The 17626-nt window shown below is 37.7% G+C and overlaps 1 protein-coding gene across 5 annotated transcripts in view; it reads left to right on the plus strand.

Annotated features, from left to right (window-relative positions):
* The window catches only part of ZCCHC4 (zinc finger CCHC-type containing 4), a 57610-nt gene that overhangs the window by 22728 nt on the left and 17256 nt on the right, over positions 1-17626 (plus strand). For 3 of the 5 annotated variants that reach the window (XR_925324.4, XM_011513835.3, NM_024936.3), the window contains exons 6-8: positions 10047-10119; positions 13991-14141; positions 16088-16188. Coding sequence is in view for 4 of the 5 variants with exons in the window: in XM_011513835.3 (XP_011512137.1) it covers positions 10047-10119; positions 13991-14141; positions 16088-16188 (325 nt within the window). In the remaining variant the exon portion in view is untranslated. Of the gene's footprint in view, positions 1-10046; positions 10120-13990; positions 14142-16087; positions 16189-16572 lie in introns of all 5 variants that reach the window. The other 2 variants (NM_001318148.2, XM_017008129.3) reach the window with 2 other exon arrangements.

The following is a 17626-nucleotide window of genomic DNA, read 5'->3' on the forward strand; positions in this document are numbered from 1 at the left end:
TGTAATCCCAGCACTTTCGGAGGCTGAGGCAGGTGGATTACTTGAGTCAGGAGTTCAAAACCAGCCTGGGCAACATGGTAAAACCCCATTGCTACTAAAAATACAAAAATTAGCTGGGTGTGGTGGTACGTGCCTATAGTCCCAGCTACTCCGGAGGCTGAGGTCAGAGGATTGCTTGACCCCAGAAGGTAGAGGTTGTAGTGAGCCGAGATTGCGCCACTGCATTCCAGCCTGCACAACAGAGTGAGACCCCTGTCTCAAAAAAATAAAATGAAGTGTAGCTTTAATAATTTATTTGCCTTTAGATTTCTGAGTCAACTCTAAGTTGTCTGACATACACAAGCACATTACTCAGAAATTACCTATACTGTCTCATTCCTTATGAATATGTCTGGCCTGGTAACCACTCATCCCTTGTTGACAGCACTAGCACACTTTACTAACATCTGCTTAACATGAGTGACCCTTGACAAATGATGATATAGACTTCTTAAAGATAAACTCGATTTATTTTTAATTGGATATAATTCACTTAATAGTCACCATTTAAAAGTATATATTTCAGTGGTTTTTGTTGTTATCACCGTGTTGTGCAGTCATCACCACTAGGTACTTCTAGAACATTTCTATCATACTGAAAAGAAACCTAGAGTTCGCTTCCCCTCACAAGCACTTTCTGTCTCTCTTTTCTGGAGTTGCCTGTTCTGCACATTTTATATAAATAGAATAATAAAATCTATGACCTTTGTGGCTGGCTTCTTTCACTTAGCATCATGTTTTCAAGGCTCACCCATGCATGTAGCAGTACTTCATGCCTCTTATGGCTGGCTGTATGATACTCGATTGTATGGATATGCATGGAGCTAGAAACTTCTTTTTTTAAATTCTGTGTTCCTTTCCTAAAGTATTAAATTATTCTAAATGCATTATTTTAAAGGTAGAAGTTTAACTTTTGGGTTCTTATAATGTATTATTAATAGGGGATATTTTTATTTGTTTGTTTGAGACGGAGTCTGGCTCTGTCACCCAGGCTGGAGTGCAATGGTGCGATCTCAGCTCACTGTAACCACTGCCTCCTGGGCTCAAGCGATTCTCCTTCCACAGCCTCCCCAGCAGCTGGGATTAGAGGCGTGCGCTGCCATGTGCAGCTAATTTTTGTATTTTTAGTAGAGAGGGGATTTCACCATGTTGGCCAGGCTGATCTTGAACTCCTGACCTCAAGTGATCTACTTCCCTCGGCCTCCCAAATTGCTGGAATTACAGGTGTGAAACACTGTGCCTGGTGTAGCTGGTGTTTTTTGAGTGCCTGTTATATTTCAGGCCTTGCCCTGACTCATTCCTCACATTAGCCCTGTAAGATAGATGCTATCATCATCCTCATTTTTCCAGATGAGAAAACTGAGGCATAAAGAGGTTAAATAGCTTGATCAAAATCACAGTTTATAAGTGGCCAAGCTAGAATTCAAGCCAAGGCAGTCTGGCTCCAAAAACTAAGCTATCCTTTGGAAATAACTTTGCTTTTAAACTTGTTTATATGCCTTTCTCATATAGTCAGTTTCTTTCTTGTCATCCTTCCATCTCTCCCTTTCTCCCTGTATCCTCCTGCCTTGTTCCACAAAGATTTTCAGATGAATCAAAACTGGTTTCTAGGTTATTTATATTTTTAGAATAAGGCACTCAGGATTTTTTTCTTTGGAGACCTGGAAATCCAATCACGTAAAAGAGAATTTATTGATTTACATTACTGAGGTCTGGGATATAGCAGGCTTTAGTCTAGTTGAGATAGTGAGCCTCACACAATGTTGCTAGGGCTCCCTCTTTCTCTCTCCACCTCTCATTCTGTCTTTCTCTGTGTATTGATTTCATTCTGCAGACAGCTTCCTTCCTACTGCCAGGGACGTTGGTGGCAGCAGCTTTAAGTTTATCTAGTTTTCAGCTTAACTGCCCAGTGGAAAGAGGCAGTTTTTCCTGAGAACTCCAGCAGCAAAACTCCAGAGAGTGTTCTGATTAGCCTGGCTGGGGTCACTTGCCTATTCCAGAGCCATCACTGTGGCCTGGCAGATGGGGTACTCCAGCCAGCCTCTGACCAATCACACAGAGTTGGTTCTCCACAGGAAACAGGTGTTCGACTTAAAGAGTAGGGATGTAGGTGCTGGAGAGACAAAAAACCAGATGTCCATAACTAAACTATTCAAGACAATGTATACAGTTGCCAGCAGCACTCATGTTCCTAACTTTGGCACTTTTACTTCAGTGAAAATGGTACAATGTGATCTTTCTAATAGTATGGTTTTGAATTTACATTAAAAGTTATATAATGATTCTAAGTTATTAAAGACAAGCTTTTTCAAGCTATTTTTAGTGGACTTACTTACAAACAGAGACTAGGTGATACCATAGTGCGTCTTCTCAAAGAACTTGTTAAAATTGCAAGAATCCTTGGTTTACTTTGTTTTTAAAAAAGGAAAAATGATCTTTAATTCTGCCATCCAAAACATTATGGGTTTTGGCTTTTTAAACCTTTTTTATGCATATAAACATTTTAAAAAGTAGATATATAACCTTGAAAACTTTTCCTGCTGGTGATATTTTAGGTATATTTCTTTTTGAGACAACATCTTGCTCTGTCACCTAAGCTGGAATGCAATGGTGTGATCTCAGCTCACTGCAGCCTCAACCTCCTGGGTTCAAGCGATCCTCCTACCTCAGTCTCTCCCAAGTAGCTGGGACCACAGGCGTGTGCCACCACACCCAGTTAATTTTTGTATTTCTTGTAGAGACGGGGTTTCACCTTGTTGCCCAAGATAGTCTTAAACTCCTGGGCTAATGCAGTGTGCCTGCCTCAGCCTCCCAAAGTGCTGGGATTACAGGGTGTGAGCCATCATGCCCAGCCCATTTCTTTTTTTAAAATTGAGATATATTTTACATACATAAAACAGTAGTTTTCAGTATATTCACATGGTTGCGTAGCCATCACCGCTATCTAATTCCACAACATTTTCATCACCTTCAGAAGAAGCACTCTCCCTGTGAGCAGTCCCTCCCCATTTACCATGCCCCCAGCCTTTGACAACCATGAATCTACTTTCTATCTTTATGGATATGCTTTGCCTATTCTAGATATTTTTTATATAAGTGGAATAATACTCTGTGTGGCCTTTTGTGTCAGACTTCTTTCACTTAGCATAAAGTTTTTGAGGTTCACCCATGTGGTAGCATGTGTCAGTACTTCATTCCTTTTTTTGGCTGAATAATATTCTACTATACGGATATACCAAATTTTGTTTATCTTTTCATCTGTTGATGGACACTTGAGTTGCTTCCACTTTTTGGCTATTATGAATAATACTGCTATGAACATTTGTGTACAAATTCCATGTGAACATAGGTTTTCAGATCTCTTGGGTATTAGTTTGTTAGGGCTGCCGTAACAAAATACCACAGACTATGTGGCTTAAACAACAGAAATTTATTCTCTCACAGTTCTGGAGGCTGGAAGTCCAAGATCAAGGTTTTAGCAGGTTTGGTTTCTCCTGAGGCCTCTCTCTGTGGCATGCAGATGGTCACTGTCTCCTCATAAGTTCTTCTCTTTGTGTGCGTATCCCTGGCGTTTCTTACTATGTCCAAATTTCCTCTTCTTTTAAGGATACCAGTCAGATTGGAGTAAGGCTCACACTAATGGCCTCATTGTAACTTAATTACCTCTTTAAAGGCTCTGTCTCCAAATAGCCACATTCTGAAGTACTGGTGATTAGGGCTTCAACATAAGGATTTTGGGGGTGAAACAGTTCAGCCCTTATACCTAGAAGTGGAATTGCTAGGTCATGTGGTAACTATGTTTACCTTCCTGGGGAACAGCCAAACTATTTTCCAAAGTGGCTGCATCATATTTTATTCTCACCAGGAATATATGAGGTTTCTAATTTCTCCATGTCCTTGCCAATGTTTATTATCATCTGTCTTTTTGAAGTGGTATCTCCTTGAGGTTTTGTTTTGTATTCCATGATGGCTAGTAATGTTAAGCATCTTTTCATGTGCTTATAGGCCATTTGTTTATCTTATTGGAGAAATATCAATCCTTTGCCCAGTTTTTAATTAGTTATTTGTATTTTTGTTGAATTGTGAAAGTTCTTAATATATTCTGGATACTAGACCCTTATCAGATATATGATTTGCTAATATTTTCTCTCATCTTGTGGATTGTCTTTTCACTTGTGATGAAGTCCAGTTTTTCTTTTTTCTTCAGTTGCTTGTGTGTTAGGTGTCATATCTAAGAAAGTCTTGCCTAATCCAATGAGTGTCTATACCCATGTTTTCATCAAAGAGTTTTATAATTTTTGCTTTTACACTTAGGTCTTTAATCTATTTTGAGATTTTTTTTTTTTTTTGAGACGGAGTCTTGCTGTCACCCAGGCTGGAGTGCAGTGGCACATCTTGGCTCACTGCAACCTCCGCCTCCCAGCTTTGCACCATTCTCCTGCCTCAGCCTCCCGAGTAGCTGGAACTACAGGCGCCTGCCACCACGCCTGGCTAATTTTTTATATTTTTAGTAGAGATGAGCTTTCACCATGTTAGCCAGGATGGTCTCGATCTCCTGACCTCGTGATCCACCCGCCTCGGCCTCCCAAAGTGCTGGGATTAAAGGCATGAGCCACCGTGCCTGGCCTGCTAATTTTTATTTATTGTATGAGGTAGGGGTCTAACTGCTTGCATGTAGATGACTAGTTGCTCTAGCACCGTTTATTGAAAAGACTGTTCTTTTCCCATTGAATTGTCTTGGTACCACAATGAAAACAAAAGGACCACAAATATATAGGTTTATTTATGGACTTTAAATTCTGTTCCATTGATCTATGCCCATCCCTATGCCACTCTTACACAGTCATGATTACTGTTGCTGTATGGTAAATTTTGAAAATGGGAAGTATGAGTCTTCCTATTTTGTTCTTTTTCAAGATTGTTTTGGCTGTTCTGGGTGTCTTGCGTTTCCATATGAATGTTAGGATCAGCTTGTCAATTTCTACAAAAAAAGCCAGCTGAGATTTTTAAAGGGATTGCATTGAATTTGTAGATTAATTTGGGGAATATTGCCATCTTAATATTAAGTTGTCCAGTCCATGAACATGAGATGTCCTTCCATTTCTTTAGATCTTCAATTTCTTTAAATGATATTTTGTAGTTTTCAGTATGTAAGTTTTGTGCTTCTTTTATTAAATTTATCTCTAGATGTTTTATTATTTTTGGTGCTATTATAATTTAAATGGTTTTCTGAATTTTATTTTGTGGTGTTAATAGTACTCTGATTTACTTTAAAAAATTTTTCAAAAATACAGTTAACCATTGAATAACATGGTTTTGGACTGCTCGGGTTCACTTACAAGTGGATTTTCTTGTGCCTCTGCCACCGCTCCTCTTCTTCCTCCTCCTAAGTCTGCTCATTATGAAGATGAAGACCTTTACGGTGACCCACTTCCACTTAATGAATATTAAATAATATCGTCTCTTCCTTATGATTTTTTTTAATAGAAACGGGACTTGCTGGCTGGCCAGGTTGGTCTTGAACTCCTGACCTCAAGCAATCTTCCCACCTCGACCTCCCAAATGACTTTCTTAATAACATTTTCTTTTCTCTAGCTAACTTTATAGTAAAAATGCTGTATATAAAACATACACAAAATATGTGTTAATTGACTGTTATCTGTAAGGCATCCAGTCATCGTAGGCTATTAGTAGTTAAGTTTTTGTGGAGTTGATATGGTTTGGAGTTGATATCTCATGTTGAAGTGTGATTTCCAGTGTTGGAGGTGGGCCTAGTGGGAGGTGTTTGAATCATGGGGTTGATTCCCCATAAATGGCTTGATGCTGTCTTTGTGATAATAGAGGTAATAAGTGAGTTCTCATTTTATTAGTTCATGCAAGAGCTGGTTGTTTAAAGAGCTTGGCACCTGCTCCTCTCTTTCTTGCTCCTTCTCTTGCTGTATATGACATGCCTGCTCCCCTTTCCTTTCCACCATAAGTAAAAACTTCCTAAGGCCTCACCAGAAGCCCAGCAGATGCTGGTGGTATGCTTGTACAGCCTGCAGAACTGTGATCCAAATAAACCTCTTTTCTTTATAAATTACCCAATCTCAGGTATTCTTTTATAGCAATGCAAAATGGACTGACACAGAAGGTAAAAGTTGTATTTGGATTTTCTACTGCGCCCCTAACCTCTGTGTTGTTCAAAGGTCAACTGTACATATAACATTTACCATAGTAGCCATCTTTAGATATACAACTTAGTAGTGTTAAGTAAATTCACGTTGTTTGTAACTGATCTCCAGAACTCTTCATCTTGCCTGATTTAATTTGAAAGATTTATATGGCCCCTTAGCTATTTCACCTTTAATTCCATGCCTTTTAGTTTTCCTTTTCTTGCACCTGTAGTTGTAATATCCTGGTCAGAGTAGGGGTTAGGGGATGTGGATAAAGTTATTGTATAATGTATGGAATATATTGATACTTTTTTTTCATGCTTATAAACTTTTGTGTGTGCCTTGCAAACAAAAACTGATGGTGTTTTATTGGGGATATCACAGTTCAGTTTTTTTGATAACGTAGTCTGTTATTGAGTCAGTTCTGTAGAGGTCAACAATAGTTCTTAAGAGAGAGCTGGTTTATTGAGACACATAAGTTGCTGGAATGCTCTGAGGCTGGTTACCTGTATTTACAGCATGACGGAGTGTGTGGTTGGTTCAGATTTCTCATAAAGACCACAGTTAAATCAGAAAAAAAATTCTGCATAGTATAGAGTGACAGTGAGTAGTTTTTTGGCACTTTGACTTTGGTTTTTTGGTGCCTTACAACAGGTTTATCCAAGGTTGGAGAACAGCCTCAAACTCCAGTGTTCTCTATAAATGTGCTATAAATATATTTTTTAGGGGGTAGGAGGTACGAAGTTCACATTTGCTAAGATGGATTTCTATATGCTTAATTTTAGCATGAAAGATGTGAAACTCTATTTGGCAAACTATTATCCAAATAAAGTTATGTCAAAAAATGAATTTCTTAGGTTCATTTCATGAACTAATTTTATTCAGCTCTTGATTACATTTCCTGTGTGTAGAGCATGTTTCACACTTGGTAACTGACTCTCATTTAAAGAGAATGAATGGCCAGATGAATGTCCTTTTGAGCATTTTTCAAGTGCATGCATTTCTGATTGGTTTTGTTTGCCTTATTCAATGGAGAGAATAATTCTTTGTGGCCAATTTCATTTTAAGAGGGCAATGTTGAGTGATTTTTCATAATTTAAAATATGAATAATTATGCTCTCAAATTATGTATTTGATGGAAACTTAGAACTGAAATCTTGGCTTTTCTTTCTCTATTCCTCTGCACACTGCTGCCCAGAATGTTTTGGACAGGTGTGCTGTGCTGAGTTTCATGTAAATCAAATTTCCTTTTTCTAATTTTTAAAAATGACTGTTGTATCTTTGTGAAGGAATGACAACAATAGGGATTATGTTAAAAAGGGATTGTATTTTCCTTTGGTCGTACTTATAAAGCAGTGCAAGAGAGAAGAAAACCCTCAAATGATATCATGTTTACACATGGTTGTACTAGTACTAATACACTTTTTTTAAAGGCAGTTATGTGAAATTTAGTTAAATAGGAAGACATATTTGTTTAATGGTCATTTGACATTGCCTACAGTCAATTTTTGGAAAGTTCATTAGGTTACGGTATATAGTTTAAATATTTTCCAGTTATCTAAACCTTTTATTTCTTCAGTGCAAATTTATATTTTAGGAAATGTGCTAACAGTGTCTTAAATGACATTAAAGGATATTGTACCGAGAATGGTTGGCAGCTCTTTGTCCATCTCCACAGAACAAGAATAAATAGGCTTAGATTATTTCTGGTGAACATAAACATAATTCCCTAATATGAGAGGCATTAAGACATAAATATTTACGCTGCTAATTATTAAAATAACAGTAACAGTACTTAACATTTTAGTATATGCTATGTAGCTGGCATTGTATTAAGTACTTTACATACATCATCTTATTGTTATCCAGTCCTATGTGGTAGAAATTATTACTTTTACCATTTTACGGATGAAGAAACTGAGGCTCAGAAAGGTTAAGTAACTTACTAAGGATACCCAGCTAGTAAGCGAGAGACACATAGTTTGAAACCAGACCGTCTGACTATAGAGCCTCTGCTCTTAACCACAGTTAATGGGAAGAGGATAAACCAGTGCTGTCCCTTACATTAAATATTCACCATGGATGCTCAATCAGTTACAGACAGTAATGGGTAACTGAGTAGAAATACAAGCAAAGAAGTTGACAGTGTCATGACTTGGTTCAAGAAGTCATAATAAGTAAGGATGTGTCTCAGATTTTTTTTCAGTCTTTTTACCAGGTTACAAATTCCCAAGGATGATGTGAGTCATATGTAAATTATGTGTAATAAAATAGTTGGAGTTCAAAATCCTATTGAGATAACAAAAAGGTTTCTATATTATATGGAAAACTGAGAAATCAGCAACGCAGACATTAAGACCCAGATACATAAATGGGGAAAACATATGGACAGACGGTACAAATACAGTTAAGAAATATAGAAAGTTCCACCTTATAAGTAGTCAAATGCAGATTTAAGTCATAATGTGATATGAGTTTTTCCTAGTAAATTAGCAGGAATTTATAAAATGTTAATACCCAAAGGTGGTACTCTCATGCACTGCCAATGGCTTTTTAAAATACTGTGTTACCATGGAATACTATGCAGCCATAAAAAATGATGAGTTCATGTCCTTTGTAGGGACATGGATGAAATTGGAAATCATTCTCAGTAAACTATCGCAAGGACAAAAAACCAAACACCGCATGTTCTCACTCATAGGTGGGAATTGAACAATGAGAACACATGGACACAGGAAGGGGAACATCACACTCTGGGGACTGTTGTGGGGTGGGGGGAGGGGGGAGGGATAGCATTAGGAGATATACCTAATGCTAAATGATGAGTTAATGGGTACAGCACACCAGCATGGCACATGTATACATATGTAACTAACCTGCACATTGTGCACATGTACCCTAAAACTTAAAGTATAATAATAATAAAATAAAATAAATAAAATAAAATAAAACACTGTGTTAGCAAAACAAAATAATTCAATCAGTAAATAAATATTCCTCTTTCCTGGCACTGATTTAGTAAATATGAAATGCATATACTTTCTCTATTATATTGAAAAGCATATTTTATTAAGCTAGCCTGCGTTAGACAAAAAAAAAAATTTGTATTACTTTTTTTTTTTTTTGAGACAAGGTCTGGCTATAGCGTCCCGGCTGGAGTATAGTGGTGTGATCTTGGCTCACTGCATCCTCCGCCTCCTGGGCTCAAGCCATCCTAACACCTCAGCCTTCATAGTAGCTGGGACCGTAGGCATGCATCACCACGCCTGGCTAATTTTTGTATTTTTTGTAGAGGCAGGATTTTGCCATGTTGCCCAGGTTGGTCTCAAACTCGTTAGCTCAAGCAATCTGCCTGCCTCAGCCTCCCAAAGTGCTAGAATTACAGGTGTGAGCCACTGTGCCCGGCCTGTATTAAATACTTAAAAAAAAATCAGCTACAGAAGAAAATAAATGAACAGCTGTCAAGCAGAAATGTTGATTTAGTATTCTCCTTAAAATTATTAACCATGAGGGATGTATCTTAATTGCCAACCCATTGCAAGCTTAAATTGCATAATCATCTGTCAGTAACCTGATTGTTTATGTATAACCTCCTGGTACATAGGAACATGTGTGTTTTATATATGAGTATTCTTTGGTTTTACTACTGGTTAATTAAACATGGGAAAATCACTTAAGTTTGTTATTTATTCACTGTTACAGATTCCCTGAAATTTTTGCAAATTATTCTTTATTTCAAAAAACTAAAAAATGAAATTTTTTAAAGGTGTGATTTTATTGTTTTAAAATTTAGTTTATATTTGTCTACTCTATAGCTGTGACTGGGCAAATAACTCTGTAATTATTTTACAGGTATTCACAGTTTTATATGGAAGATAGCTTTTGCCATTATAATATGTTTAACCATCATTTCTTTGATGGAAAGGTAAGAGCTGTGACCATTATCTCATTGTTCTCTTATTGTGGAATAACAGATTTCAGAGTGCCTCCTTTGTTCTTTTTCTAAATTCCCTCAAGGTCAAATTGTGGCTGTTCTACCATTTACTGATATTTATTTTTGTTCTTTCACTGTTTATTGAGCACCTAGAGGTGATTTTATTATTCCCTTGTTAAGACTTCTCACTACTTTTTGGATGAAGGCCCACATTCTTAGAAGGCCCGTGGGGCTCTGTGTGATCTGACCCCGATTTCCACTCTAGCCTCCCCTCTCCCTGTTTCCCCTTTGCTGTCTGTGCTCAGGGCACAGGGCTTTCATCTGGAACTGGTCAGACGCCTTTCCACCGCAGGGAAGGTCCATGCTGTTCCTGCTGGTTTCTGCTGTCTTTTGCCTTGATAACCTCCACTCATGTTTTAGAACTTTGTTCCAAATCACTTCTTCCAGCCTCCCCCGACCCCTACTCCCCAAAGGGTCAAGTTTTCCTTTGTAGACTTACCACACTGTAATTAAATGCATGTGTCAGGGCTGGGAGTGTACGGAAAATCTCTATTCCTTCCTCTCACTTTTTCTGTGAACCTCAAACTGCTCTAAAAAATAAAAGTTCTTTAAAAAAAAAAAGGACTGCAGTTTAAAAAAGCTTCTTTCAATTTGAGGTTAATAATGTCACTGAGAATAAACAGCATAGTAGAGCTGATACATTTAGTTTAAGCTCTTTGTCAGGCCTATTATAAAATAAAATCTGTAACCAACCAAGTAATCACGCTGGCCAAAAATATTGTGAAATTATCAAGACACCTTGAAGCATACCCATAAATATATGCATATATATCAATTTTGTAAAAATTCTGAACCATGCTTACTATGTATTGTGCTTTGAGATATTAACTAATGATAGGAGGATGAAAACCAAGCAAGACTTTAAAAGTCAGCGTTCAGGAAATGAAAACAAATGTTAAATTGTTGGTTGGGATTGAAAAATGAGTCCCCTGATTTAGTAAGTATAGCACTCCTTCCATTTGAATCAATTTAGCATTGGGATATATATTAATATTTTTCAGCTGTGAAGCCATTAAAACAAGGTATTGAAATAAACAGCAGTTATAATTAGATGTATTTCAGCTGTTTCCCAAAGCGTTTATGTGGTTGCTAATCACTAAGAATTGAGAACTGTTGAGGTGAATGTGAAGGAAAATGGGAGTTGAAAGTCACTTGCCAGTGGATGATGAGGGGCTTCGCAGCTGGGACAGTGGCAGTGAGAAAAGGAGAGAAAAGAACTGGGTTGTCTAGGCATTCACGGAAGCAGTGAGAAGACTGTACTGAGGGAGAAGTCCAAGCTGACTTGGTAGAATGGCCTGGATTTGTATTTTTTCTTCTAACAGAGGGAAGTGAAGTTTGGAAAGGTTGAGTTTGTGGGGTTGGTAGGATATTGATGTAGGGGTGTCCCCCTTGAAACCACAGGACCTTGATGTCAGGTGGAGTCAGGGCTGTGTCGTAGTAAATGAGGAAGTAATCGAGTTTGAATCACTTCTTGATCCTACACTAGTGAGTTAGGGTTTTCTTGTTTTTTGTCTGTTTTAATACCATACTATGGTTTTGCTTTTTATTTTGAACAATGAAGACAAAATAAGGATAAAATTAAATACCTAAAGGTTGGCTAGCAATTTTTTATATTTTTAAAGAGTAACAGGTAATTAGCCTTTTTTTCGAAACTCTTTGTAGCTTATAGAAAGTGTACAGCATTACCTTATAAGTTTCTACAATAATGGTTGGAATAAGCTGCCAAGATTGAGCCCCACTTTATCTTCCCTGAAGAAAAGAGTCGTCCAGCTCAGGCTTTCCTTACTCTATATTTCAGCAGCAGCCTCTAAATAGCACTGCAGCTGTAGAGATTGATCTGCAGAAACCCATTGTTTTAATGATTTTACTATCTGCCCTTTTTCTACCTACTCCCAGAGTCAAGTTTTTCAGTAGAGATTTACCATCCACTAATCAATCACTAAGTATTTAAGTGTCGGCTCAGTGCCTTTGAGGCTGTCCAGGGTGCTTAGGAGAATAGAATACTCTGCTAGTGCACCTCAGCACTTTACAGTCCACTAGATTCAAAAGCTGGAGTTCCCTGCATAGGATTTCTCATTGCAAATCATAGAGTCTTTAAAAAAATGTCATCTGCCTTAATGGCAAAGTCAGTTAAAGTATGTAGAGAGGATGGCTAATTAAATTGCCGGGCACTTTTTAAATGATAACTGAGATAAAGGAAAGAGTCAAATTACTGTCAACATTGTAAGCAAGTATCTATTTCCCACAGGAGATCAACATTAAGACCATCAGCAGCTTGTGTTTGGCTATGATGCCATTGATTCTTACCTGGAAAAAAAAATCCTTTAAAAATATTTTTAAAGTTAGGTTAGGAGTTAGACATCATTTACTTGTATAATTTCTTTTTTCTACTTTTAACTCTAAGGAGTTTGAAGATTTCAATATCATCATCTGTGCTTTCAGTCCTTGTTCTTGTAAGCAGGTTAAGGAAGTGCCAGACAGCACTTGAAAAATGATTAACCTTCTTGACAAGTCATCCTCTGCTGTAGGAGTTCCAGTAGGAAATTAATGAAGACTCTCCTAGGGAGAAAGGTTTTCCTCTTATCAGTGGGATCTTCTAAATTGATTTCGCGGTAGAACAAAATATATTTTATTATAAAATACATATAGGCTTGTTAAAGTTTAAAATGCCATTCAATTTTAAAATCTCATGTCATTTTGTATACTGTGTTGACTTATTTTTGTAGATGAGTACAGTCAGCTCTCCCCACTTGTGGGTTCTGCATCTGTGGATTCAACCAACTGGAGATCAAAAATATTTAGGAAAAAAAGGATGGTGGTGACTGTACTGAGCATGTACACTTTTTTCTTGTCATTATTCCCTAAACCATAGAGTCTAAGAACTATTTATGTATCATTTACGTTGTATTAGGTATTATAAGTAACCTAGAGATTATTTAAACTATATAGGAGGATGTGCATAGGTTATGTGCAATACTACAACATTTTATATCAGGGACTCTAGCACCTGCAGATTTTGGTATATGCAGGGGTCCTGGAACCAATCCCTCAGGGATACTGAGGGGACTGTACTTGAAAGCTACTTGCAAGTCAGTTGAGTGGAGATACTGTTATATGGTATCTCTTAATAACTTCACTTATAGCAAAAACCATTAAATGTCCCTGTTAATGTTTACTTTGCAATTACTAAAAAAGCTTAAATTAACCTTTGGGAAAATGTGTTAATAGCATGGTTTCATGGACCAGATGCGCTTTGTCGTTTGTGAACTTTCATTTTTTATTTACTTACAGTGCATGTTCAAATATGTCTGCCTGATACTCAAAAACATATGCATGTTTAACTGCTAATTTGTAGCTGTTATTAAACTGAACTCATGGCATTGGACAAACCAGATAGGAAAACAATGTTTTCTTCGTCTTTGTGTGCCCAGTGCTTAGCACCATCCTGGCTTCTGTTTGTTAAATTGAATTTAACATTTTAGATAGTTTTCATGGGTAATGAGTTTCTTTTAGGACATTAAATTTAGCCTTTTAATTTAACCATTTGAAATGTGTAGTCTTCTGATAGTGATGGTGTTTGAATTTGCAATTTTAAAAACCTGCTTATCAAAGAACCCAAAGATAAAATCTCATAGGAGCAAAGAGAGGCTTCAGAATGTCACTGAGGAATGCTGCGGTGGCAAGATGACTTGGTAAAGTTTCCAGTATTAAGAGAGAGACTGAGTCTAATGCATTCTCCTCCAAATAGGATGAAGTGCCTCTCTCTAGTCCTAATTTAGAAATGAATTTTTATTTGTTCCAGACTGCCCTTGAAGTATGCAGAGCATTTTTACAGGAAGATAAAGGCGAAGGAATCATTATGGTGACGGATCCTCCGTTTGGTGGCTTGGTTGAACCTCTGGCTATTACATTCAAGAAGTTAATTGCTATGTGGAAAGAAGGTCAAAGCCAAGGTGTATAATTTATTACTGCAAAATAAATACATATCTATATATCTACTTCCTGTCAAATATTAGCTGAGCTCAGTGAATCAGAGCAGTGATAGAATATACATGTCTTGAGTTCTCTTTTTAAAAACAGGCTTATTTGATGTTGCAGCAAACTTCATTATCATGATATACTTTGTATTATTCTAATCATGTGGATTTTTTTAATGGCTTATAGGTAAAATACTATGTTTTTGATGGGGATAATGGGACATTATGCAGAACAGCAGTGAACTGCTGTCATTCTATTCAGTAAATATTTACCGAGTGGCCACTGTGTGCCAGGCACTGTTTAGGTACTAGGAATAGATTTTTGAACAAAGCCGACACATACCTCTGCCCTGTGGATCATACATTCCCTGTTCCTAAAGCCTGGCCCAGAACACTAAGAGGGCACTCAACCTGAGGTCCAGGGCTCTACGCTTTGCCAGGATATGAGTTTGGAGGTTAGACATCCCATAGGCTGATTGTGGTTATCAGTGACACAGATTCCCAGCCCTATAGGTAGGCTAGTGGCTGGGGGTTATTATTCAGTTTAAGTGACTTAGCCGTGTACGGTCTTCAGGCAGGTACTGCTTCTTTTTTTTTTTTTTTTTTTTTTTTGAGACAGAGTCTCACTCTGTCACCCAGTCTGGAGTGCAGTGGTACAATCTCGGCTCACTGCAACCTCTGCTTCCCAGGTTCAAGCGATTCTTCTGCCTTAGCCTCCTGAGTAGCTGGGACTACAAACATGTGCCACCATGCCCACCTAATTTTTTTTCCCCTGTATTTTTAGTAGAGACAGGGTTTTGCCATGTTGGCCAGGCTGGTCTTGAACTCATGGCCTCAAGTGATCTGCCTGCCTCAGCCTCTCAAAGTGCTGGATTACAGGCGTGACTTAGGACTTCAAAGTATTTTATATAATTATCTAATTAGTTGGTACATTCATTTTTTAGAAACATTTTCTAGCTCGCAAGTTGATAAATTTGTTAAGAGTGTCAGGAATTTTGTGATCATGCTTCTCCACTAATAGTGCTTTGAGGGACAATGCAAATGAAATATAAAACGTGACTCATATTGTTAAGTATTTCACTTATTTGCTGTTTTTAAGTCCACTAATTAGAGTGGATAAAGTCAATGTCATTGGGGAAGCAATAAAGAGCTTTGTGGGCTTGAATTCCTGTTCTGCCACTTATTAGCTGCATTGGACTTGATAGCTTATGGCTTCAGTTTCCCTATCTGTAAAATGGGATAACATCTAATTCTAGGGATTATTGTAAGGAGACAGTACATAGAATGTACTTATTATAGCTTAGTGTAAGCACTATGATTAGGCTTGCCTCTGATTAAGGCTTTTCAGCCTATTGGAATTTTAGCTGTAATAGTGCTATAATGAATACTAGCCTATACTAGGTGCTTTGTAAGTAATAGCTGTGTTCCCTGTCTCTCACAAACACTAATTTTGGTAAAACTGTTTTGAAGAATCTTCCATGATGCAGACAAGGTTGATTCATCCCTGAAAACTAAGATAATGAGTTGTGGCAGAGCTGGGATTCACACCGAAGACCTACTGCCTTCTAGTCCAGAGGTCCTTTCACTGCATCATGACTACCTTTGTGCCTCAAAAGTGGCACTCCTTTTCTATTTTCAACTTTTTAGGTAACATCTTTGCCTTACCTAGACAATAGTAATATACATATAAGGGTTACTTTTACATACTCTTAGTAGCTATATTTCGATATAAAGGAATATGTCCACTGACCTTTGGGAATAGACAGGTTTGAAATGGCACTCTGGTAAATATTTTCTGTTTTTGTATGAGATTTAAATGTGTTGAATCATTGCAATTTCTTATGCTAGCGGAAGTTTTTCTACTGTAGCCTTCTATTTTTTCTTTAATTTACTATTATTTTTTCCTTTTTGTGATCCATTAGATGACAGTCACAAAGAACTACCCATTTTCTGGATTTTCCCCTATTTTTTTGAATCCCGAATTTGTCAGTTTTTTCCAAGCTTCCAGATGCTGGATTACCAGGTAGAGTACATATTCTGTTTTCTGGCATGGTTGGGGAATGGAGATTCTACTTGAATAGATATAAGACTATTCATTGATTTTAGTAAAATACAATGAGCTGTATTAAACACTAATATTATACCATATATAGCTCAGTCCAGTGTTTTCTAAATATCAGTAATCCCTAGAGTGCATGTTGAAAATACAGATTGAGTACCAAAATAAACCCACTAAATCAGAATTAGAGGACAAAGCCCCAAGAAAAAATATCTCACCAAGCTCCTTGGGTGACTCCAAGTGTGCTAGGGTTTAGAGCGGCTGATTTAGTCTTTCATCATCACTAGGAGATTTTGCAGCCCCCCCACCCCTGGTTCATCATTATGAACGTTGGTTTCCTCTTTTCAGGGCATATAGAAAAGTAAATCACCTTTGTGGTTGGTGAAATGCCATGCACACTTTACTGCATCACTCTTGGGATGTCAGGAGTGTCAGAGAAGGCAGAGATGGCTCTGTGTGAATGTGTTGATTCCGGGAGGAAGTTACTGGAGTGAGTAACTTCACAGCAATGACTATGGAATTTTCCCCCTGCCTGAAATGAGAATGAGGCTGCTGTCCACAGCAGCTCCACCTGGTCTTTTAAGTTCATTCTGCTTTAAACTCCACTTTCCTGTATTTTCTTCCCTTGTGTTTGAAGTTAACCCTGTTGTCGCCATCACTGTTTATGGTCTTCAGGCAGGTACTGCTTCTTTTTTTTTTTTGAGACAGAGTCTCACTCTGTCACCCAGTCTGGAGTGCAGTGGTACAATCTCGGCTCACTGCAACCTCTGCTTCCCAGGTTCAAGCGATTCTTCTGCCTTAGCCTCCTGAGTAGCTGGGACTACAAACATGTGCCACCATGGCCACCTAATTTTTTTCCCCTGTATTTTTAGTAGAGACAGGGTTTTGCCATGTTGGCCAGGCTGGTCTTGAACTCATGGCCTCAAGTGATCTGCCTGCCTCAGCCTCTCAAAGTGCTGGATTACAGGCGTGAGCCATTGCACCCAGCCTGCTTCCTCTTTTTGTAAGAGTTTTCTATTTGAGTTTTCTGAATAATCGACTAGCCCCTGATTAAGGCAGAGTTTTAGCTGTAAATGTCTTCACTAGCTGTTGCAAGCTAGCACTTGGTTCTAATCTTTCTAATCCTGAAGGCATATACCATTATGAAAATTATTTTAAAATTCTGAAAGAAACAGTGTTACCAAAAATGAGAGTAAAAGACTCTACTTGTGATTCCACCCAAACAGCAGACACTGTACTTTCAAAGTGTTCACTTTTAATCTTTTTTTAAGAGTACTTTTTACAGGTTTGTAATCGTAGAAGACAATTTTGAATTCTGCTTTCTTCATTATGTCTTATAAGTATACATTTTTAAACATAGCTACACAATCTTTATGCTTTAATAAATAAATTATTTCATTTA

Source organism: Homo sapiens, chromosome 4, assembly GCF_000001405.40.
Source record: "Homo sapiens chromosome 4, GRCh38.p14 Primary Assembly".
Taxonomy (NCBI): Eukaryota; Metazoa; Chordata; class Mammalia; order Primates; family Hominidae; genus Homo; species Homo sapiens.